General features: G+C 34.7%; 1 long non-coding RNA gene across 1 annotated transcript in view; it reads left to right on the plus strand.

Annotated features, from left to right (window-relative positions):
• LOC105371657 (uncharacterized) overlaps window positions 1-24,070 on the plus strand; it is a 453,818-nt gene extending 429,748 nt beyond the window's left edge. The window contains exon 5 of the long non-coding RNA XR_002958413.2: window positions 23,973-24,070. This is a non-coding gene — a long non-coding RNA (uncharacterized LOC105371657). The remainder of the gene's footprint in view (window positions 1-23,972) is intronic.
• Window positions 24,071-25,221: the final 1,151 nt, after the last annotated feature.

Consider the following 25,221-nt stretch of genomic DNA (forward strand, 5'->3'; position numbering starts at 1 on the left):
TGAGAAGAAATCAACAGACACAAAAGAATAAAAGAAAAAATCTATGTTAAAGCAACTATTACTATGTCCAAGGAGGTGAAGTCAAGAGTGGAAACTTCAACAAGATAGTACATACTGTAAAAGTGGCAGATTAGGATAAATAAAACCACACAAATTCTAAGACTAAAAATGTGAAGAAAAAAATGATTCAATAAATGAACTGAATAGCAAATGAGACACAGCTATGTAAAAAAGAAGTGATTCAGAATTGATATCATAGGAAACTAACCAGAAAAAAGTATGCATATATTTGTGTATATATATATATGTATATATATATATACACACACACACACACACACATAAAAGCATCAATACACACATATATATATGTATGAGAGCTTAAGAGTCACTGAGGATATGTAATAAAATCTAATATAAATTGAAGACAAGTGATGAAAATAATGACACAGAAAATATTAAAAGCTAATTGCTAAGAATTTTCTAAAATTAATGAAATATATTAACCTACAATTTCAGGACAGCAAATTCCCCGTAATGAAACTGCAGAGAACCAAGAACAAATAGAAGTGAATACAGCCTCAATGTGGTCTAAGAAACTAACCACTAGCCAAGAATTTTCTGTACAACAAAAATATATTTTAAAAATAAATATAACATTAAAATATTTTCAGACAAATAAAAACTAATAGAATTTTTTAATGAGCAGATACACCCTAAACAAATTCCAAAGACTATTAATTAAGAAAGAAGAAAAAGGAAAATGGTCATGAGCAAATCTTTTCAAAGATGTAGGGATGAATGGAGAGCAGCAAGAATGATAAATATTAAGACAATAAAACAAAGAAACTGACTAATCTAACAATGCCTTGGAGGTATTAAATATACAACCGAGGCTCAATTCAAGTACAAGTACATGTGGAAAGGGGTAATATAATTAAGGTCCTTGCATTTTCCAGAAGAATGGTAAAAGTACCAAGAAGTATTAAATTATGATAAGTCAAAAAGTATATTGTAATTTCTAGTAAATCACTAAAAGGAGAGTAAAAGACTGTATAAATTCCAAATCAAAAGGAACAAGTTGACCATTTAAGAGAAACCTACATTCATCAAAAAAAGGCAAGACATGCAGATAAAAGGGAACAAAAAGCAGTTAACACAAATAAATGAATTGGTAGGAGAGTCACAGTGACTACTATTGAGGGTAAATTGTGATTGAGGAAATGCTAGGTAGGAGATTCTAGATTGTTGAGGATACTTTACTTATTGATTTGGATATTTAATTCATAAATATTTATTTCATAACTACTTTTAAGCATTATATTCATATTTCATTACATTGTTACAGTAAAAATGTTAAAGAAATTAAGAATGATGATTGATCCTGCTGACTTGGAGGATTCTAGGCTTTTTGTTCTTACTTCCAAGGCATTATATGATTTTACAAGTTAGAGAAAGCTTAGGCGGAGGGACACTGTGGAAATACGAAGTTGTTAGGGAATACATTTCCTTTGAAAATACAAGACAGAAATTCATGAAAGTCAAATAAAATAGTACAAGATGAAATAATATACTTTCTAGCAGAAAAAGTAAATTCTTATTTACTTCAAAACACGTGGACATTTCCTTTAGGAATTTAAACTCATGCTTCCCAAAGGACAAATATTATGTTTCTATCATTCATTTATGTAAATTTTCAGATAGATGTGACCCTGTAGCCCTGATGATGATGATGATGATGAACCAGATTTGAAGGTGTTGAAAAAAGGGACATATGCACAAGATATTTCCAGGTTCAGAGTTAGGGGGAAAAAATTCAAATGATGATATACATTTTCTGGTCCATTATTATAAAAATTAAAAAAGAGAGAGAGCAATACACCTTTTATGTAATTTAGTAATGTGTTTCTATATTGAATTTGTGGCTAATTATCAATCTTATTTTTTAGCTTGAATCTTCCTAGATAACAAGCACATAGTTGTGAAAATGGAATGAAAATTATAGTGTTAAAGAACAAAGACAAAAGTTTTCCAGTTTTTTGGTATCAGAAACCCTTTATAATCTCAAGAATTATTAGGGACCAGAAAGCGATTTTAATTATCTGCATTTCATCTGTAGGTAGTTACCATATTAAAATTGAATCTAAGAGTATGAAAAATATATTAATTAAAGTAACAGTGCTAAACTCATTACCTGTAAACATAAAAAGCAAATTTGCATTAAAATTAAAAAAAAATTAATGTGAAGCTTGATATTCTCTTATTTTTATTAGGCTCTTTAATATTTGGCTTAATAGTATAGCTGGATTATCATTTCCAATTTTGCATTTAATATACTAAAATATGCTGTTGAGTTTAAAGTATATAAAGAAAACATGGTCTTACAGAAATTAACAGTTGGAAAATGAGGAGTATTTTAGTAACCTTTCCAGATAATTTTGTACAATCTTCTCTGCCACTACACTGAAAATAAAAAAGTGGTAGTTTGTTGAAAGTTAGCTGTAATATGAAATCTGAAACCCTATCTATGAACTTTTCAAAAGCTTCCTTGATTTAAAAAAATAGATTTTACTTTAAAATCTATTGACTCATCTTATACTTTGAATGACATTTTACCCTTGCACAATTTTATAATACCACCCATTAGACATTTGGAAAACATTGTTTCACTGAGCTATGCAGATCTTTTAAATACTGGCACATTTCATTACAGTGTCACATTAACAAAATTTTGTTAATTTAATTGTCAATCTAATCAGGAAAAAAACTTTGTTTTGGGAGACTAGTTTGGGGAAAGTAGTTGACAATTTTTTCCAAAATTTGTATTTTCAAGTTAAATTTTTAATTGTATAATTAACATAGGATATTGTCAGTTTTCCTTGAAGTGACAAGCTTGCTGTTTTTTACTTTTATTCCCTGCCCCCCCACCTCCCCGCCTTTAGCATCTACTAAATGTCACTACTATTCTTACATAAGAAATTTTGTATATTCTGGGACTACTATCTTCCCCTCATACTCCAAACCAGTTCATCAGTAAATCCTATCAGTGATGCTTTTAAAATATATTGTGAATCCAAGCTTTTTTTTTTTTTTTTTTTTTGAGATGGAGTCTTATTCTGTCACCCAAGCTGGAGTGCAGCGGTGTGATCTTGGCTCACTGCAGCCTCTGTCTCACAGGTTCAAGCAGTTCTCCTGCCTCAGCCTCCTGAGCAGCTGAGACTACAGGCATGTGCCACCACACCTGGCTAATTTTTGTATTTTTAGTAGAGCCAGGGTTTTACCATGTTGGCCAGGCTGGTCTCAAACTCCTGACCTCAATTGATCCGTTTCTTATCACTCTAATGTGACCACCCCTACCCAAGCCATCATCATTTCAGGTCTTGATTGTCAGCCTATCCTTCTAGATTCCTTCTGGATTTTTTTTTTCTCCTTCTACTGTTCCTTTTATCTTTCCATGTAGTGACCTTGCTTATTTTTCAAAAATATATTTTAAAATGCCACACTTCAGATGATTTAAATGGGGGCAATACACAGTTTTCTTGCAATGTTGAACAATTACCATCAGTTTTCCACCTACCCCTGTTTACCCTACTTGTGACACTGGAACATTTTTGCTTTGCTTTGTCTGTGGCTCATTGTTACACTTCATCTAGTACTAGAGGGGCACTGGAGAAGGATAGGGCTCTACTTCCTAGTTCCTGAGTGCTCCTCTTAGCTTGTTCTTACGGTGCATAGTAGCCAAAAGTGGACATCACCTTGCTGGGGACAGAGCACCTCACCTGTGGCACCTCAGGAAGCAGCTTCCCAGTAAGTTTTATCAGTGTAGTGCCTCGGTAATCTCTGCTACCTAGAAGACCACAACCATACCTTCTCCAACGAGGTCTAGATATCAATTCTGGTAGGTCGAGGGTTCTTTCAGATTTGTTTCTTCCTTGAGTACTTTCCTAAAGTGCTAGAGAGAGCAGTGGCAGCTCCCTATATCTGCTATCCCTATATTTTTTAGAGTTCTCTTACCCTTTAATAGATAATTCCCTATAATAATTAGTTACATTAAACTTCCCCTATTCAAATTACCATGTAGTTTCAGTCTCCTAGTTGGAGAGTCATTGGTAATAGTGTTTTCCAAGGCTCTGCATTATTTAGTTCCTGGTATTGCTCTGAAATTTTCAACTACATGCTCCCCCTGCTCACTTTGCTCTGGCCACACTGATGGACACATTGTTGCTAGAATATTCTCCTAATTAAATTTGTTTCGATTTTTGCCTAGAATATTTTTACTGTTATTTGAATGTCTCCTTAGCCGAGTCTTTCCCATTTATATAAAATAGAACTCCCATTACAATACTTTCTCTCTCTTTAGCCTACATTATTTTTCAAAGAAGTTTTGTCTCCACATGACCAGTTATAGTTATTTATTTCCTTGTTCACTCTGTGACTTCTCACTACAAAGTAATGCCCTTGAGAGTGGACACATAGTCTGTTTTGTTCTTGGCTAATATTTCTTCCTACACCTACATATATTCTACCACATAGTAGACACCTGTTAAATGACTAACTGAATGACTGAATAAATGAATTAGTTGCTTTTCTAGATGATAAAATGAGTGTCAAAAAAGATAAGTATAACATAAAAGTCAGGAGTTTAAGCTCTTCAGGGAGAAAAATGTTTGTTTAAATGTGGGTTTTGTTACTTCCTAGTAGTGTAATTTAGGTATAGTTCTGAAATACTGATGGTTTCATTTTCCTTATATGTAAGATGGGGATTATAATAGCAACTAATTTATACTTTAATTGTGTAAATAAAATTATGTATATAATGTGCCTAGTACAGTGCTTGACACATGTTAACAATTCTACACATTTAGTTATTTCTATAATCACCTACAGTGCAAAACCATAAATACAGGATTGTCATTTTTCTGGAGAGGTAGTAAGAGAGAGCTTAAGTTTCCAAAGTGAGTAAATAAGGTCTGGTTTTAATATAAATATATTGGTAGTAGCCTGATAATAAGAATGAACCCTAGGCTGGGCATGGTGGTTCATGCCTATAATTCCAGCACTTTGGGAGGCCGAGGTGGGTGGATCACCTGAGGTTGCGAGTTTGAGACCAGCCTGACCAACATAGAGAAACCCGGTCTCGACTAAAGATACAAAAAATTAGCCAGGCGTGGTGGCATATGCCTGTAATCCCAGCTACTCTGGAGACTGAGGAGGGAGAACTGCTTCAACCTGGGAAGCGGAGGTTGCGGTGAGCAGAGATTGTGCCATTGCACTCCAGCCTGGGCAACAAGAGTGAAACTCCATCTCAAAAAAATAAATACATAAATAAAAGAACGAACCCTAAAATCAAGTAGACAAGAGGATGGTTGAGGAGGCTGATGAAATAATATGCTATATTGCACGGGGAGTAACCATGTCACAGCAATGGTGTCACATTTCTTTGATTGAATCAGGGCATCACAGATAAGAACAAAGGGACTAAATAGATTAGAGATAGTTAAATACATACATTCATGCATATATACATGCATATATAGATTTTTTAACTACTAAACATAAATCAGATGATCTTAAAAGTGAAGGAAGAATATGGTTATATGAAGAGTTTCTCAAGGAATTTTCAACAATATAAATCATTTTGTTATTGAAACAGGATCACTATTGCCTCTCTTTTTTAAACAAAGATCTGTAACTGAAGCCTTTATGCTTGAAATTGATTTTCTATCTAGTTTTTAGAAATTGAGAGAAATATTTATTGTGAAATATTAAGGCGTCTCAAGCAACTTTACCTTTGAAAACAATTTTGTGTGGCCTTCAAACGTAATTGGTACTTTATTTTGGTTAAATATTTACTAGTTGATTCAAGGATCAAGTGACTATGTTCTACATTTTAGAAGCAAATAGGAATCCATTGATCATGAGCCCTAAAGAAATGCTATTGATGTGACAATGTGTGAAAGAGAAAAACGTTACTGGTGTCCATCATTACACAGAGAAAATAAATAGAGATTTATATAATTATCTCATTAATCTAGATTACACTTGTGTTAATTGAAAACACTCCTAAGTACTAAACTATAGAGTTATGAAACAGATTAATTAAAGAGTGATTATTTTCAATGTGAAATGATTCCTCTGAATACAAAATTGATTCATTTAATTAAAGTCCTCCTATTGTTTTAAATTGCTTATTTACCAACAAATAAATACTAACAAAAAGACTGAGCTAAAAATACTGAAAAATAGTTATATGTTACTGGAACTTGTGAAAATAGATACAACTAAAATTATACAATCAAGGCTGGGCATGCTGGCTCAAGCTTCTAATCCCAGCACTTTGGGAGGCCTAGGCAGTTGGATTGCCTGAACTCAGGAGTTTGAGGCCATCCTGGGCAGCATAATGGGACCTTATCTCTACAAAACATAAAAAAGAAAAAAAAAATACCCTGGACATGGTGGTGCATGCTTGTTGTCCCAGCTACTTGGGGAGATGAGGTGGGAGGATTGCTTAAGGCCAGGAGGTGGAGATTGCAATGAACTGTGATTATGCCACTGCACTTCAGCCTGAGTAACAGAGCAAGACCCTGTTTCAATACATACATACATACATACATACATACATACATACATACATATATACATACATACACACATACATACATACATACATACACACATATTATACCATCAGTCAATGGTAAAATGAAACTGAGTTTACAAGGTTCACCATTAATTTAAGAAATTTCTAAATATGACTGCATAAATGTAGATCTTGTTTATTTTCTTTATTTTTGGTCTCTTGATTCTGCTATGTATGGAATTTCTCCTTAGTCTCACCTACTTATTAAAATATGCTTTAATAACAAGTGAGCCTGGTTTTATACTTTTGGAGTCAATTTTACTTAATATGGTAGATTTGTTCATGATAAAAAGTCAATTTTATTTACATTAACACTCACTCTCAAACTCAATTCAAAGTGTAGTTCAATTTGTTTATATTTCAGTGGGCTTCAGGTGGTCTATGCTTCATGACCCATGAGCTCCCATCCTGGTGCTGGGGCAGGGAAGAGTCAGAGCTCCATAAGTGGACGCCTGTGGCCAGTTTTCTTCTTTGACTAAGGCTGACCGATGAGCTCTCCGCTGGCTTTCATGATGGCATACTTCAGGAGGTTCTTCTGAAGTCTGTGGGGGGGCCTCCCCTACTAATGTTTCTTGATACAGAAAATGGAACTCTATTTTGGCTTCTTGCAGCTATTCTTTTTCCTCTCCAGCTCTCATCAAATGAGGTACATCTGACATACAATACAATACATGCATACATACCTACATTCATATATGAATGCATACATGGATAGATTTTTTTAAACTACTTAACAAAAATCAGATGATCAATGGAAGTGAAGAATATGGCTATATAGTCTTTCAAGGAAGACACATATTCACTAACTTGGTGAATGCCTCTTTTTGAAGTGTCAACAAGACTTCTCAAGCCCACTTACCTCCCATGGTGAGCTCTCATATCAGGAAAAATTCACATTGTGGAAATGTAAAGTGTGAAACTGCTGCAAAGTCTCTCCATATCTTTTCCTGTGTGCAGGCACTGGAGATCAAGACCACTGTCTAGACACACATCCAACCAGAGAATTAGCTTTTCCCCAGATTTACAGTAAATTTATTGGAATACTAGCCAGTTAGCTTTAGGAAATAGAAGCATCCCTCATTCAGAAAGAGGAGAAAGAAACCTCTTTACAAATACTTCAATTGCCCGACATGTGAATATACCCTTTTTGTTCTTCTCTTATTGTTGATGAGAACAATAGTTATATTAATCTGTATAGATGTTGATATGGTTTGACTCTCTGTACCCACCCAAATCTCACCTTGAGTTGTAATAATCCCCACGTGTCAAGAGCAGGACCAATTGGAGGTAATTGAATCGTGGAGGTGGTTTCCCCCATACTGTTCTCCTTGTAGTGAATAGGACTCACGAGATCTGATGGTTTTATAAATGGGAGGTCCCCTGCACAAGCTCTCTTTCTTGCTGCCATGTAAGACCTCTCTTGCTTCCCCTTCATCTTCCGCCACAATTGTGAGGCCTCCCCAGCCATGGGGAACTGTGAGTCCATTAAAACTCTTTCCTTTATAAATTACCCAGTCTTGGGTATGTCTCTATTAGCAGTGTGAGACCAGACTAATACTAATCCTAGGAAATCGTAGAGGTAGGTGGCAGGCCTTGACTGCTAAAAGATCATGTAACTTAAAATGTGTAAATAGAGTGTTTTTTTTCCCACTAATTTAGACTCTAGCTCCATTTTCAAGACTATAGAAATATCTGAATCCTAAAACAACTTTCTGTCTCTCTTCGTCTGTGTATGTGTGTGTGTGTGTTCCTGCGCACGTGTGTGTGTTTCTATCTGCAATACTTTATTTTAATTATGGCTTCATTAGATGACTAGATCAATAACTCGATAACCTCTGTATCACCTATATTTACCTCCATGGCTATCTGAACAGATATATAAAAAGAAAGATAACTTTACTAGAAGAAGCCCACATGAAACTGGGCTTAATAATTTTCTAGTGAGAATTTTAATGAAAGAGGTTTATGTTTTAAAGCTGAATAATATTTTATTGTATATTTATTACACTTTCTTCATCCACTAATATGTCAGAGAACATTTAGATTGCTTTCATATCTTGGCTATTGTGAATAATAATGCAATGAACATGGGAGTGCAGATATCTCTTTAAGATATTGATTTTCTTTCTTTTGAATGTATACCCAGGAGTGGAATTTCTAGATCATATAGTACTTCTATTTTTAAGTTTTTGAGGACCCTCCATACGTTTTCGCAGGAGCTGCACCATTTTCCATTCCCACAAACGGTGTACAGGCTTCTGATTTCTCCATATCCTCAACCTAGAGGATATTATACTAAGTGAAAAAAGACAGTTTTAGAAGGACAAATGCTACATGATTCCACTTACATAAGATACTTAAAATAGTCAAATTCATAGAAGCAGAAAATAGAGCGGTAGTTGCTAGAAACTGGAGACGGGGGTATGGGATGTTTTCCAATGGATTTAAAGCTTCAGTTATGCATGATGAATAATTTCTGGAGATCTTCTGTACCACTTAGTATGTAGACTTCAACAACTGTATTGTGCATTTAAATTTTTACCATAAGAAATTAATAAAACTGTACGAAAAAAAACAAAGAAGCACAAGGAAAGTTTTGGAGATGATGTGTATTCATTACCTTGATTGTGTTGATGGTTTCACAGGTATATGCATATGTCCAAACTCATCAAACTGTATGCAATAAATATGTGCACTTTTTGCATATCATTTATACCTCAATAGAGCTGTTTAAAAATATAATGAAAAAAGCAACATTCTACTTCTCCTCTTCTGTATTTTAATAATAGACTTTGGCTTTTGTTCCTATGAGAAGGAGAGTGGTTTGGTCTCTGCTCAACAGCCTACATCATGATTTTGTTGATGGTTCCCAGTGGCAATTCTCAGTTTCCAACTATGTTTTTAAATAATTGCTGTTAGTGAAAATATCTCTTTTCAGAAGCACAGCATCTGTGGTGAGCACATCCATATCATTTCACACAAATTCCAGAAACCGCAATTTTTATAACAATGATAATAAATCTAAGCATTCCTATAAGTGGCAATCATGAAGTTTTCCATACTTACTTGGAATCTCTCACCATTCTGAACAGCAATTGAAACTATCACTAAACATCTGAGAAATCACTGTCCCCTAGTTTTCTTTATGCCCTCATGCCCATTCCATCAGTAAATATATAATTTCTGCATCTTCTTTCTCCCCTCAAATTCTAATTGTTCCTGTCTCCCAGATCTTTCACTTTGCTCTTAAGGTATTCTTGTTCTCACACCAAACTTTCCTGTCTTCAACTGTCATATGTGTTGCAATAACTTAGCACATCAAATATTTAGCCCATACACATTTGTGCTCCAGGTCCACATAGATATCAACTCCTCCCAAAAATTAGCAGATCAACTCTCAGCACCTAGAGAGTTTTTCTGTGGTTCTTTTTTTCAGTGTTGAGATCCACCTCAAACTTTTAAATTACCTCTGCACCTGCTTATTCACCAAGTTCTTCAGATTCTGATACCACACCATTCTAAGCCATGGTTTTCTTTGCATTCTGTCTCTAATTCACCTTTTATTACCCTTGACCTGAATTATTCCTTTAGGTCTTTCTTTATAAGATATGCCACATACTACTCCCTTATCACCTAGTGAGCAAATCTCCACAATTCTGCAAGAATGTTTCTGCCACAACGCATATCTAATAGTTAAAATAATCTCTTTACATTATCATTTTTCAAAAACATTTTGTTAGGTTCATAATTTTTAACTTACTACACTAAGCCCAAATCAAACTTTTTTATATTTGTAAAAGCGACTATGACTATGTCAATAATGTAGATTTTAGGATATGAATTTGTTAATATTTCTTCTTCATTACATCTTAATCACCAATACTTTCATCTATTATGCTCATTTATTTGACATTTTGAACATTTCTAAAATAAAAGAATATATATATTATAAATTTAAGATATGTTCATTTTAAACATTACACAAAGATATAAACTAGGAAATTTTGACGTGAATACAACATATAATTGGCATAATTCTTAAAACTGTAATAAGCTCTATGGAAATTTACAGTGAATACATTGAAAGTTTCATTTATTTGTGTATCATAGATGCAATATACAAGTTACTTTTTCCATATATACTTGTATAATTTAATATTTTCTGGGATGAGAATATATGTTGAAAATAATTGCTAATTATTTAAAATAAAACAAATCCTGTTGTTACTAATATTTGTTCTAATGCATGCATGGAATTTTTTAAAAATGGGAAATCTGTTGAGGTAAAATTATGTATGTTGTGAAAACCACATCCTGAACTGCACAAATCAAACTTCAAAATGAAAAATGTAGTATGTCCATTTATTTATTATTGCATTTATACCTAACTGCTTCTATTAGTAATGATATTAATATTCTATAAATATCAGAAAAAATGATAAATAAGAGCTAAGAGCTAACTTTTGGTTCAAAGGACAAGAATTTAAATTTTGCATATGTAAAAAACGTGCATTGAAAGATTGTAATTACCTGTAAAAAAATAACCTAGATATCTTTTTGTTAATAAAGAATATAAAAACAACACCACAGCAACAAAACTTAGATGATTATATTTTGATTGTGTGAATAGATATCGCTTTGGGTGAACCCTGGTCTAAGTTGTCTCACTACATCAATATTCATATATGTAATTTTTTTCCATATTTAACAGTAGTACTTATGACATTTATTTTATCACTATTTGTTAAATGTCTGTTGAAACCTAGAAGTTTTCATGGATATGAAAACGATAAAACTGTGGTCTTTCACCTTCTTGAGCTAAAAATACAAACCTTCAAGCCTGAGAGTGTAAAGCAGCCATTTACAGGTTGAGGTACAACACACAGTGAGAAAAACAGCTTTACTGTATACAGAGTAAACAGGCAACAAATCTGCAAATACTTACCTTTGAGATTTAAAAAGGCAGGGAGGGGTAGAGGTAAGGATTACAGAGAAGCATAAGGACACTTTTGGAGGTGATTGTGGAGATGGTTTCAGGATGTGTGTGTGTGTGTGTGTGTGTGTGGAACACTTCTTAGATTTGTTAAATTGTGCACTTTAAATGTTTGCAGTTTATTAAATGCCAATTACACTGAAACTGTTTTTGCAAAAGCTGGCATTTCTGTCTCCATGTTGCAATGGGCATTATGGGTCAACAAAGTATCCTAAGGTATCAGGGTCTGTATTAGTCGCTTTTTTTTGGTATTATCCTAGAACCAAAAGAGAGTATGTATTTTGGAATATATAAGTGAGCTCCAATTCCTGATATTGGTAATAAACTTTCCCCATCACTAATTTCTGTGAAAATGTTACTGTTATATACATTAATATGATAATATAGATACATTTTTAATGATAACTTACCAGGTACAAGAAACTACAAAGATAGTATTTTTATGATAGATAAATCACATCCCTACTCTGAATTAGTTTAGAATGAAAGTAGGTCAGGGGTTCGAGAACATTCTGAGAACATAGTGAAACCCCGTCTCTACTAAAAATACAAAAATTAGCTGGGTGTAGTGGTTCACGCCTGTAATCCCAGCTACTCCAGAGCCCAAGGCAGAAGAATCGCTTTGAATCCAGGAGGCAGAGGTTGCAGTGAACCGAAGTCACAACATTACACTCCAGAATGGGCAACAAGAGTGAAAATCTGTCTCAAAAGAAAAAGAAAAAGAAAAAGAATTGAAGTTTCCTTTTTAACAAAATAGCTAGGTAAATGTAGAATGAAAAGGGGTATATTACTCTGTGTTCTCCAGAGAAACAGAACCAATAAGAATTATATACAGATATATATCATAATTTATATATATATATACACACACACACATATCATCAGTATATATATATGTGTGTGTGTGTATGTGTGTGTGTGTGTGCACATGTATGGATTTTTTATAACCAGTTTACTCACATGATTATGGAGGATGGCAAGTCCAAATCTATAGAACCAATCTGTAGTCCCCGTTTGAATCCAAAGGTTGGCAGGTTGCTGGAGAACCAGGAAGAACCAATGTCCTAGGTTGAATGAGGAGAATTCTTTAGGCAGTAAAATTCCCTCTTATTCAGAGGAGATTCAAACATTGTTCTATTTGGCCTTCAGAAGATTGGATGAGGCGCACCCACAATATGAAGGGCAATTTACTTTACTCAGTCTATTGACTTAAACCTTGATATCATACAAAAATACCCTCACAAAAACACGCAGAATAATGTTTGACCAAATATCTGAGCACCCTGTGCCCCATTCAAATTGACACATAAAATTAACTCTCACAAGAGATCATCTTGGTTTCAATTTCTCTAACAGATCTTTATGTGCTTTTAAAAGTGTATTGGTTGATAGTTGCAATAAAACTGTTAATAAAAGTAGTTCGTGTAAAATATTGTATCAGTAAAATCTAGTATCAATAAAAATGTGTAGAAATGAAAAAGTGCAGTAAATTTGCAGAAAATAGTTTCATTACGTACTTGTTCATCTCATGCCTACTTTTAAGCAGCTGTAGTCTTAAGACACTTGGTAATGCCATGTAATTTCCAATGCTGGCTTATTTGCTGACACTAAATCTCTGTGTGGCAAGGACAGGATGAGAGTTTAAGAAATCTTGAGCATGATGGCTTTTCCAATGAATATCAATAGGAGAAACACCTGTGGTCAGACACTTTGGGCTGATCCCCTAAGGGAATGGGAAATAAATTACTCCAGTTCAAGGTGGGCTTTGATTTTGCTATTGCACGTTGCATCTGTCTTACAATTCTTTTAGAAGGATTTATATTTAATGTTTGATATAACCTTAAACTTTTTATGCACTATTTTTATCTGTATGCTTTCTCTATATATTTTTTCATAATTTTAAATGTTAAGCATTAAACATGAAACTCCATATAATTCATTACATGCAGACCTAGACTACAAGAAGTATTAATGTCACCAGATTTTACTTAAACCCAAGGAAGGATAACATTTAAGTATGGGTGTAAATGTGTAAAGTACCATGTAAGGACAAAAGACTATACCATCAATTATAACGTTGATTTATGGGGCAATAACAGATATGCATGTACAATATTTTGTAAAACTTCCCCCAAATAACAGGGAATAAGTGGATGTGGCTGTGTACTCAGCTTTCATTTATCTGAAGATGTATTATTTTCCTCATTTTTTTCCAGAGTAATTTCACTGGTTATAAAATTTGAGTTGACAGTTGTGTGTGTGTATGTGTGCGCAAGTTTGTGTGTGCATGTGTTTGTGTGTATTCTCTCCCAGCATTGGGAGCATTTATAGCTGCCAGCATTGGGAGCAGGTATAGCTGTCATTCCATTGTTTTCTCACCTTCCATGGCTTCCTGGGAAGTTGGTCAACATTCATATATTTTTTAAACTACATATAACATGTCTCTTTTCCATAGCTGTTTTCAAGATTTTCTTTTTACTTTTTGTTTTTCTCATTTAATTCTGATGTTTTATGGAGTGATCCTATTTGATTTTACACTGCTTACTGCTTAGGCTTGACTGGGCTTTCTGGGTCTTCCATTTAACATATTGATATGGTTTGGATCTGTGTTCCCACCAAAATCTCATGTCAAATTGGAGGAGGGGCCTGGTAGGAGGTGACTGGATCACTGGGGCAGATTTTATTATAGTGATTGAGTTCTCATGAGATCTGTTGGTTTAAATGTGTGTAGCACTTCCCCCTTCTCTCTCTCTCTGTCACCATGTGAAGACGGTGCTCCTTTCCCCTTCACCTTCTTCCATGGCAAGTTTCCTGAGGCCTCTCAATCATACTTCCTGTTAAGCCTGCATAACTGTGAATCAATTAAACCTATTTTCTTCTTAAATTACCCAGTCTCAGGTAGTTCTTTATAGCAGTGTGAGAACAGCCTAATACAGAAAATTGGTACCAAAAAAGTGGGGCACCTCTATAAAGGAACCTGAAAATGTGGAAATGACTTTGGAACTGGGTAAGAGGCAGAGGTTCAAGCAATTTAGAGGGCTCAGAAGAAGTCAGGAAGATGTCAGAAAGTTTGGAACTTCCTAGGGACTTACTGATTAATTTTGACCAAAATGCTGATAGTAGTATGGACAAGAAGTCCAGGCTGAGGTGGTCTCGGATGGGGATGAGGAACTTATTGGGAACTGATGTGGTCTCAGACGGGGATGAGGAACTTATTGGGAACTAGTGTAAAGGTTACTCTCGCTGTGCTTTAGCAAGGAGACTGGTGGCATTCTGCCCCTGGCCTACAGATCTTTGGAACTTTGAACTGGAGAGAGACAATTTAGGATATCTGGCAGAAGAAATTTCTAAGCAGCAAAGCATCAGGATGTAACCTAGCTGTTTCTAAAAGTGTATGCTCATATGTGTGAACAAAGAGTTCATCTGAAACTAGAACTTATATTTAAAAGAAAAGCAGAACATAAAAGTTTGGAAAATTTGCAGCCTGACCATGTAGTAGAAAATCAAAACCCGTTTTCTGAAGAGAAATTCAAGCCTGCTTCAAAAATTTGCATAAGTAAAGAGGAGCAGAATGTTAATAGCCAAGATAAGGAGAAAAATGTTTCCAGGGCATTTCAGAGACCTTCACAACAGCCCCTCCCATTACAGGCCCAAAGGCTTAGGAGGAAAAATGGTTTTGTGGGCCAGGACCAGGGCCCAGCTATTCAGTGCAGCCTCGGGACACAGTGCTGTGGGTCCCAGCCACTCCAGCTCCAGCCATGGCTAAAAGGGGGCAAGGTACAGCAAGGGCCATGGCTTCAGAGGTTGCAAGCCCCAAGCAGCTTCCATGTGATGTTGGGCCTGCGGGTATCCAGAAGGCAAGAATTTAGGTTTGGGAACCTCTGCTTAGATTTCAGAGGATGGCTGGATGTCCAGGCAGAAGTCTTCTGCAGGGATAGAGCACTCATGGAGAACCCCTATTAGGGCAGTGTGAAGGGGAAATGTGGGGTTGGAGCCCCTGCACAGAGTCCCCATTGGGGAATTGCCTAGTGGAGCTATGAGAAGAGGGCCACTGTCCTCCAGACCCCAGAATGGTAGATCCACCAACAGCTTGCACTGTGTGCCTAGAAAAGCCACAGTCAGTTTGCACCAGGCTGCGAAAGCTGTGGTATGGGTGGTATCCTGCAGAGCCACAGAAGCAGAGCTGCCCAAAACCTTGGGAGCCCACCTCTTGCATCAGCATGCCCTGGATATAAGATTTAAGAATTTCCCTGCTGGATTTCAGACTTTCATGGGTCCTATAGCCCCTTTGTTTTGGCCAATTTCTCCCATTTAGAATGGGAGCATTTACTCAATGCCTGTAACCCCATTGTATCTTGGAAGTAAGTAAATAGTTTTAATTTTACAGGCTCATAGGTGGAAGAGACTTACCTTGTCTCAGATAAGATTTTGGAATGTAGACTTTTGAGTTAATGTTGAAATGAGTTAAGACTGTGGGACTGTTGAGAAGGAATAATTGCATTTTGCAATGTGAGAAGGGCATGAGATTTAGGAGGGGCCAGTGGCAGAATGACAAGGTTTAGATTTGTGTCCCTTCCTAAATGATCATGTCAGATTGGAAGAGGGGCCTTGTGGGAGGTGATTGGATCAGGGGAGTGGGTTTTCCCCTTGCTCTTCTAATGATAGTGAGTTCTCACAAGATTTGGTTGTTTAAAAGTGTGTGGCACTTCCTCCTTCACTCTCTCTCCTGCACCATGTGAAGAAGGTTCTTGCTTTTCCTTCACCTTTGCCATGATTGTAAGTTTCCTAAGACCTCCCAGTCAGGCTTCCTATTAAGCCTGTAGAACTGTGAGTCAATTAAACCTCTTTTCTGCTTAAATTATCCAGTTTCAGGTACTTCTTTATAGCAGTGTGAGAATGGATTAATACACATATATATGTTTTTTAATGTGGGAATGTTCAGATTATTATTTCTTCAACTATTTGTGTTGCTGTATTCTCATTTTATTTTGTTTCTAAACAAATGTTGTTTGTTTCATTTTATTTTGTTTCTAGACAAATTTTGTTTAAATAGCATACGGTTTTATGTGTATATATCACTTGACATTATCTTCCATTTCAAACATTTTTGTTTATCTATTTTTTAAATATTGTGTCACTGTGAATAACTCTGCATGCTAATTTCAAAATATGGGCTATCATATGGTTGGTTTCTATTGTTTATTTTTTTTTTACTTTTGGTGGTGGTTGTTCTAGATATGAGTCAGCTTTCCTTCTTAATATGCTTACTTAGCAAATCACATTTTCTTAAAATCAGATATCTTGATAGTCATCATAGACAATGGGTAAGAATTATTTTAATCTCAATGAAAATGTTGGATGAATCATATTTCTTTAGACATATTATAAGAATATGTGGACAAATCATTAATAACATTTGCCTATTTATTCTGTGTGTTCATATATGAAGAAATCTTACAAAATGTAGAAGCATTTGCCATTGAATTTTTGTGTTATTGGACATAAACCTTGCAGATCACAATTATCTGGATGGATAAAGATGAAGAAACAGTTTGTTTCTAAAGAGATATTTAAGTGGACAACAAAATTATTTTCTGATACTATCTTAATTATATAAGTTACAATAATTAATTCCCACTCCTACCTCACTTTCACCCCACTCCAGCCACTCATACATACAACTCTTAATCACACCAGCGCTGCTGAAAATATATATACTCTGAAAATGGAAGCACAAAATCATGCATGATTTGCAAAAAAACAGGCAAGAGAGAAACTTATTAGATCAAGGAGATTATCCTATGAATTCTTATTTATTTCCACAAAAAATATACTAGATATAAGTTTAGGTAGCAAAAATAATCAAGGAATAATTTTATAGTGCATTGTGAGAAAATATTCTAAATTTATCATTTTTAGAGAATGTATTAAATATTTTGAAAGTGTACTTGGTAGCAATATTATTGAATACGAAGTATTCAAACAAATATCCTATTTGGAAAGCTTAATTATTATGTCAATATTGTGGTTTAAATACAATGTTGTCCTTCCCTTGGCACCTGCCAATCTCTGACCTATTCTTCCTCTATTGTGAGTGAAGGGCTCACTGGGCAACTTTCCCAGCCTTTGCTGGAGAGCTTCCGGGATTTCTCTAAATGACTTCGTGTCTTTTTGCCACCCAGCTTCCTCATTACTCCTTTCTAATAGTAATGCATCACATTACTATTACTCATTTCTAATAGTAATGTATCACATTACTATTACCACAATTAATATGACTGGGTTACTCAATGTAAAATGTATATTGAGATTTACAAAAAATTCTGTATCTTGACATTAATTTGTATGTTGAAATTAGTAAATCTTTTTGTTTTTCCTAATGAAAAGCAAATATGAGGCAATTATTAGTGCGTGTTCTATATTAATATGAAAATTCAGCTTATAATTATTCTATGTTTCTACCATACTTCTCTTTGGCAGCGTTTACATATATTTATCAAACAGAAAAAAGAGACAGTAATATTTCCAAAATTCACAAAGTCAGTTAATCCCTTACAATTATGGCAGAAACTTAATTGAACAACTGAGGTTTCCTCAGGATTAAAATGCCAAGAGATGTTTGGTTTCTTCATTGCAGAAAAATTTCTATTTTCTGCCTCAATTTAAGATATCAACATTAAAAATTAAAAAAGCAAAATTTTGATAATATAAAATATAATATTTGTCACAATTCTAACATTAAGTTATAAATGGCTATCACATTTTTCTATGAGGTTTAAAACCTCCCTGATGCTATGAAGATGCCTGTTTAATGTCAATTAAAATAAATAATCCTAATTATGATCCTAATTACTTTCCCATTCTTAAGTAGTCTAGGACATTTGCTTGCTGTAAGTACTAATGTACCAGAGAAATCATTAGTTAGAATTTAAGTAGTAAACACGGGCAAAAATAAGACCTTCACAGATATATTTCTGTTTATGGCTATTTATGGTATAAGTTAAAATAAGATTAAGTGTAATTATACCAATTATCTCTGAATTTTTTTCTTTGAGAAAAAAGGAATGCTGTAACAAAATTGAAAAAGAGAAATTGTGTTAAAATAAGCCTTGGTTTGGTATATTTTAAGATATACAAATAAACAATAACATTCAAAATTAGTTAAGTACTTGACTCATAAATTTCACAAATTGTGGTTTTTAATAGACATGACATCCATCCAATATTCTTAATTGAAGAGTTATATGTAGCCACTCCAAGAAAAATTTGTACTGAGAAAATCTACTATATTTGATCTAGATTTAACTATAACCCAGTAAGGCAGAAATGTCCTACTTTTAAGTAAAATTTATCTTGCACAATAATCTAAATCCATACTATGAATAATTTTTCTAACAGTGATATTTTAGTTTCTATATCTGTATAAAGTAGATGGAAGTGAGCACAAGGCACTAATTTATAAACATTAAATTTATGATTAGAATTGAGCATTGCAAAATAATACTAGGACTCATATTGATAATTAAGACTGCCAAAATTATTATTTCTGCTATTATTCCTTATAACACATATGAAATACTGCTCTTATTCTAGGCAACTTCTTTCTGAAAAATATCTGAATATTTTAAAGGAAGCTATTCTATTCTTCAAGATACTGGTCATTATCACAGTGTTTCTACTGAGAGAAATTGTATCTTTCTAATGTTTTAATGTTTTAACACTGGAAATACCCAATTATTAAAAACCTGTTGTTAAAAATTATTTAATATATTTAATGCTGTTTAATTTTAATTTTATCCAGTAACTCACACATTAATAAGTACATGTTGAATATTTTTTGAATTTTGCTAATTAAGAATGACAAATTAATATTTCCACTGTGATTCTTTATAAAACAAATGTTAAATATTCTCTTATACCACGTGCCCTCTTCCCCAAAATATCTTGATGTAAAGCAGTTAATCCTGGCTAACAAACAGCTACTATATATGGACTTTACAACCCAATGGTCTCAGAGTTGTTGAATTTCTCCTGTGAAGTTTGTGTCCAAAATCTCAAAAAGATCTAAGTGCGCAAAGCTGGTCCAAAACACTCCAAGTGTCCAAAAGGTCCAGGAAAAAGGAGTTTGGGCTTTTCTCACTTAGCATTGGAAGGAACATAGCACCATTTTTGCCATATTTAATTATTTGAAGTATTCATAAATTTACCCAGGTTCAGCAACGGGAGATTGGGTACCGCTTTTGGGGGAGGAGTGGTAAATTGACATTGTAGACGATCATGCAGAATGGGTGATACTGTTGAGGCCAATTTTTGAAAATGCAGTTCTGCCACATGAATATAACAGCTTTCAAACCAGTTTATGAAAAGACTAGTGTGTGAGAGTCTATGTCATACTTATTATCAATTCACTTGACAGAGTGGGAGAGATGGGGAAAAGACAAGAGCATAACTTGATAAACTCAAGTGATCAGTATCTGTTTCTTAAAATAACTCTTATGGTTATTCACAGTGATGATAGGGCTTTGTATGAAATTGACAAGTTTGTAAAGAATGATTTCAATTTGATATTTGTTTTAACATATCGAGATATATATATATATATGTTTTTCTTTTTTTAGACACAAGGTCTCCCTTTGTCGCCCAGGCTGCAGTGCATGCAGTGTGAACGTCATACACCTGTGCAGCCTAGAACTCCTAGGCTCAAGTAATTCTCCTGCCTTAGCCACCCAAGCAGCTGGGATTAATGGTGTAACCCATGGTCCGGGGCTAAATTTTCAAGATTTAAGTTAACTGAAAAACTTCGATGGACATCGTATTAGTCATGGTTCTCTTAGAGGAACGGAACTAATAGGATATACATATATATACATATACACACATACATATACACATATATATACACAGTAATATATATATATACACATCTTATATATATTGGATGAATAATATATATACATCTAATATGAATATTTATAAAAAGAAAAAATATTAACTTTGTTCAAAAAACCCTATTCTAATTTTAACCTATTGTATGCATTATTAATACTTGCTCATATATTCAATTGGAAAGTGAGATTCCAGAGATTTAATCTAAAAATCTTCTTTCTTCATATATGTATACATAAAGGGGAGTTAATAAGTATTAACTTACACAATCACAAGGTCCCACAATAGGCCGTCTGCTGAGGAGCAAGGAGAGCCAGTATGAGTCCCAAAACTGAAGAACTTGAAGTCCGATGTCTGAGGGCGGGAAGCATCCAGCAGAGGAGAAAGATACAGGCTGGGGGCTAGGCCTCTCTCTCACTTCACATTTTTCTGTCTGCTTTATATTCACTGACTGCTGATTAGATGGTGCCCAACCGATTAAGGGTAGGTCTGCCTTCCCCAGTCCACTGACTCAGATGTTAATCTCCTTTGGCAACACCCTCGAAGACACACCCAGGATCAATATTGCATCCTTCAGTCCAATCAAGTTGACAGTATTAACCATCACCGATGTAAAATATTTTAAATCTTGAAATCATGTTAGAAAAACACAAAAGGAGAAAGTTTTAGAGAACTCCATGTAGGGAGATTTAAACCACACCTTTTGTTTTGGAGAAAGACAATGACAGAATGTCCATCACTTCAGTAAAAGATCTGTTTTCAAAAGCAGGGGTTATGAGAACAATACTGGAAAAATTCTATTTTTTTTTTTTTTAAGATGGAATCTCGCTCTGTCACCAGGCTGGAGTGCAGTGGCACGATCTCAGCTCACTGCAACTTCTGACTCCCTGGTTCAAGCGATTCTCCTGCTTCAGCCTCCTGAGTAGCTGGAATTACAGGCAAGCACCACTATGCCCAGATAATTTTTATATTTTTAGTGGAGACTACGTTTCACCATGTTGGCCAGGATGGTCTGGATCTCTTGACCTCATGATCCGCCTGCCTTGGCCTCCCAAAGTGCTGGGATTACAGGCGTGAGCCACTGCGCCCAGCCAAAAATTCTAGTTTTAAGCAGAGACTAATACAATGCAGCAACAATAACAACCAAAAAAAGAGTAAAAGAAAATTGATCTCAAAGAATAATGATTTAGCAGTAGTAACAAATTCTAATAAATAGTAGATGAATGTTTAACCCAAATATAAAAAGAAAAAAAAAATAACTGTTCAAAACCCTATTCTAATTTTAACCTATTGCATGTATTATTAATATTTGATTATATATTCCAATGGAAAGCGAGATTCCAGAGATTTAATCTAAAATCTTCATTCTGCATACACACATAAATTTATGGATAATATAAGTACTTGGAGTGTCAGGTGTATAAATTAAAGACAATATACATAAATGGAGAAGAAAGACAAGCAAGAAAAAGTGATAATTTGCTCTGGGTGTCTTGCAATCTTATCTACATCCATTAAATATTGGACCCCTTGAGGCTGGTTACAGCACTGAATGTTTTTTCTCTGCAGAACATGTTCTTTTTTAAACAAACATCTATCATAGGTTGGGTTCCCCAGAAAACAGATTCCGAAATGGAGATTTGGTTGTATTGGGTTAATAGGGAATGTTCTCATGAACAACAGGAAAGGGTGTGCAGGAAAAAAGGATAGAGCAGAGTGAGAAGCAACTATAATCCAATTGCTACAGAAGGCCAACCAGTCTAGTTTGCTTATGGCACTCCCTGTTTTAGTGTTGAAAAGCTTTTTTCAGGGAAACTCTGTGGTTTGGCTAAACCTGAATAGGATCAACCCATGTGCCATGTGAAACTCTGGAGCTGACATGTCGCTTCAGACATGTTCTGAATTAAAATAAGAGGACCCTGATGCCATCCACTAATCAATTTTTGCAAGTTGATTTTCAGGAAGGGGTATAACTTTGGATGATGTAGATCCCTTCTGCTGAGGGCAATTCAATAATGTCTCGAACAGTTCAAATTCCACATGATTATCACAGAATCCACAAGGCTTCCCCAAACCTGATTTTCTCCTTAACTTGAAGAATAGCACTGTGTATCCTACCTATTTTTTGTGCTCTCCACTTAAAAACTTTCATAAAATCTTGTTATTTTTATTTCTCCAATATCTCTCCAGTTTTTATTTTTTTCTCTGTCACCCAGGCTGGAGTGCAGTGGTCACTGCAACCTCCGCCTCTTAGCTTCAAGTGATTCTCCTCCTTCAACCTCCCAAGTAGTTGGGATTAAAGGTGCCCACCACCACACCTGGCTAATTTTTGTATTTGTAGTAGAGACAGGGTTTCACCATGTTGGTCAGGCTGGTCTCGAACTCCTGACCTCAGGTGATCTGCCTGCCTTGGCCTCCCAAAGTGCTGGGATTATAGGCGTGAGCCCTCCCGCCTTTTTTTTTTTTTTATCTTTTTTATTTTTTAGACACAAGGAGTCCCTGTGTTCCCCAGGAAGGAGTACAGTTGCATGATTATAGCTCACAGCAGCCTCAAACTCCTGTGCTCAAGCAATTCTCTTCTCCTGCCTCAGCCTCCAGAGTAGCTGGAACTACAGGTGTGTGACACCATTCCATATATTTTTTCTTCTCTTGCTTACTGGGGATTAGGAGAAAACATATTCATTTGAAATCTAAATTCTAGGCTCATGTACCATACAACTGTTTTTCAGATTCTCTTTGACTTTTTATTTATTTATTTATTTATTTATTTATTTATTTTTGAGGCAGAATCTCACTCAGTCCCCCATGCTGGAGTGCAGTGGCACAATCTTGGCTCACTGCAACCTCCACCTCCCGTGTTCAAGCAATTAGCATGCCTCAGCCTCCCAAGTAGCTGGAATTACAGGCGTGCACCACCACGTCTGTCTAATTTTTGTATTTTTAATAGAGATGGCATTTCACCATGTTGGCCAGGCTGTCCTCGAACTCCTGGCCTCAGGTGATTTGCCTGCCTTGACCTCCCAAACTCTTTGAAGTTTCTTAATACATGAGAATATAAAATAGTAGGAAAACATTTCCTGGAGCTGATTTTCATATCTACATGATCCACTGTTCTCACTAAAGCATTTCCATCATGTTACAATGGAATCTTCTCTTCTCCAGTATGCCTTCGTCAGTGAAAATAAAAAGACTAAACTTCTGACATCATAACAATTACAATGCCGACATTCTGAGCAGAGAGAGAGAGAGTATACAGAGGAAAACTCCAGAGAGCTGACTGGAAGCCAGTTTGATACTGGGGAGTAGGTCTTATTTGCAGGAAGCACCACAGGCCAACAGAGCTATCAGCTCCTTTGAGCATCTGGATGTAAGCAACACACCTTTGCTTCTAAGACTTTATCTTCCTCTCTCTTCTTATGTGTAAATGGCCCATTTTCCATGGTTATTTTGCAGTCCAGAGGCCTCAACACTCCTGAGCCCTTAGAATTGAAGGTGAAGAAATGAACAACTTTTGAGGATGACTAAGGGGAAATTTTTAATTGTGATAAGGGAGGAACTATATCAAACTACTTTAAAACTATTCACTTAGCTAGGTAAGTGAATCACATCGTATTTGTTCCATTGATATCAATCCAGATGTAATAAAATTGTAATATTGCGATATTTAGCAAAATGTCTTCCATTTTGGAATGGGGGAGTATATTATGGCACTTATAAATATTGTGTAATATGCAAAATGTGATCAAAGTCTGTGTTAAATTTTAAAAAACCTGTTAGAAAAAATTATACTCATTTTGGAAAGAAAAAAATTATAAATGGCTTGTTCTACTTTAAGTTATTAGAAGTTTCCCAAATGACAATTACGGTTAACAATTCCCCAAATGTGTCAATTGATACTTATTTATTAAAAGGGGTTTGTAATCTCCTGCTTAAATATGATTTTGAAAATCTAATTAAAATTCTCATGTTTCTGTATTCAGATTTTTCTTTCTTAGTGTAAAAACAGGATACTACTGCTCAGAAAGACAATCTGTTTTATAAATTGGTAATAAAATTTATAATTTATAAATTGGTGAAAAAGAAAAAATAGATTATAAAAGATAAAAATCAAATTACTTAAGCTTTTGTATAATGCTTAAAAAATGGGGTCATACATACAAATTCACCAATCTTTTACCTAATGATTTAGATAAGGAACAAATAGTCATATGAAGCCCTCAAATCACCCTTAACTTACTAACTTTGTCAATATTTTATTGAATATTGTTACACATTTATTTTTCTATGATGTACAAGTTTGTCTGCTTTTACTAGACAGGCTTATTCATATGCTTATTAATTTTTAAAATGTAAAATCAATAGAGCAATTCACAAGATAACATGTGTATGTAAATATGTGTGTGCATACAAGTGTATATGTGACTATGTCTATGTATATGTGGGAATGAATGATACTGTGAAAACTCTATCTCCCAGCCTATTGTTTCATCACCCTTTTTCCCATTTATTCATACTGTATACCTTTTCCCAGTATTCATACTGTATAACTTTTAGAAATTAGTTCTTATATTTATTTAAATTCCAATAAGCAATTTAAAATGAAAAGGTGTAGTGTATTCTTTATTTAATATTTTTAATACAAAGAATACATGTAGAACACATAACTAGCATATAATGTGTATAACACATATTTCTTTTGCAA

Source organism: Homo sapiens, chromosome 1 (genome assembly GCF_000001405.40).
Source record: "Homo sapiens chromosome 1, GRCh38.p14 Primary Assembly".
NCBI classification, from domain to species: domain Eukaryota; kingdom Metazoa; phylum Chordata; class Mammalia; order Primates; family Hominidae; genus Homo; species Homo sapiens.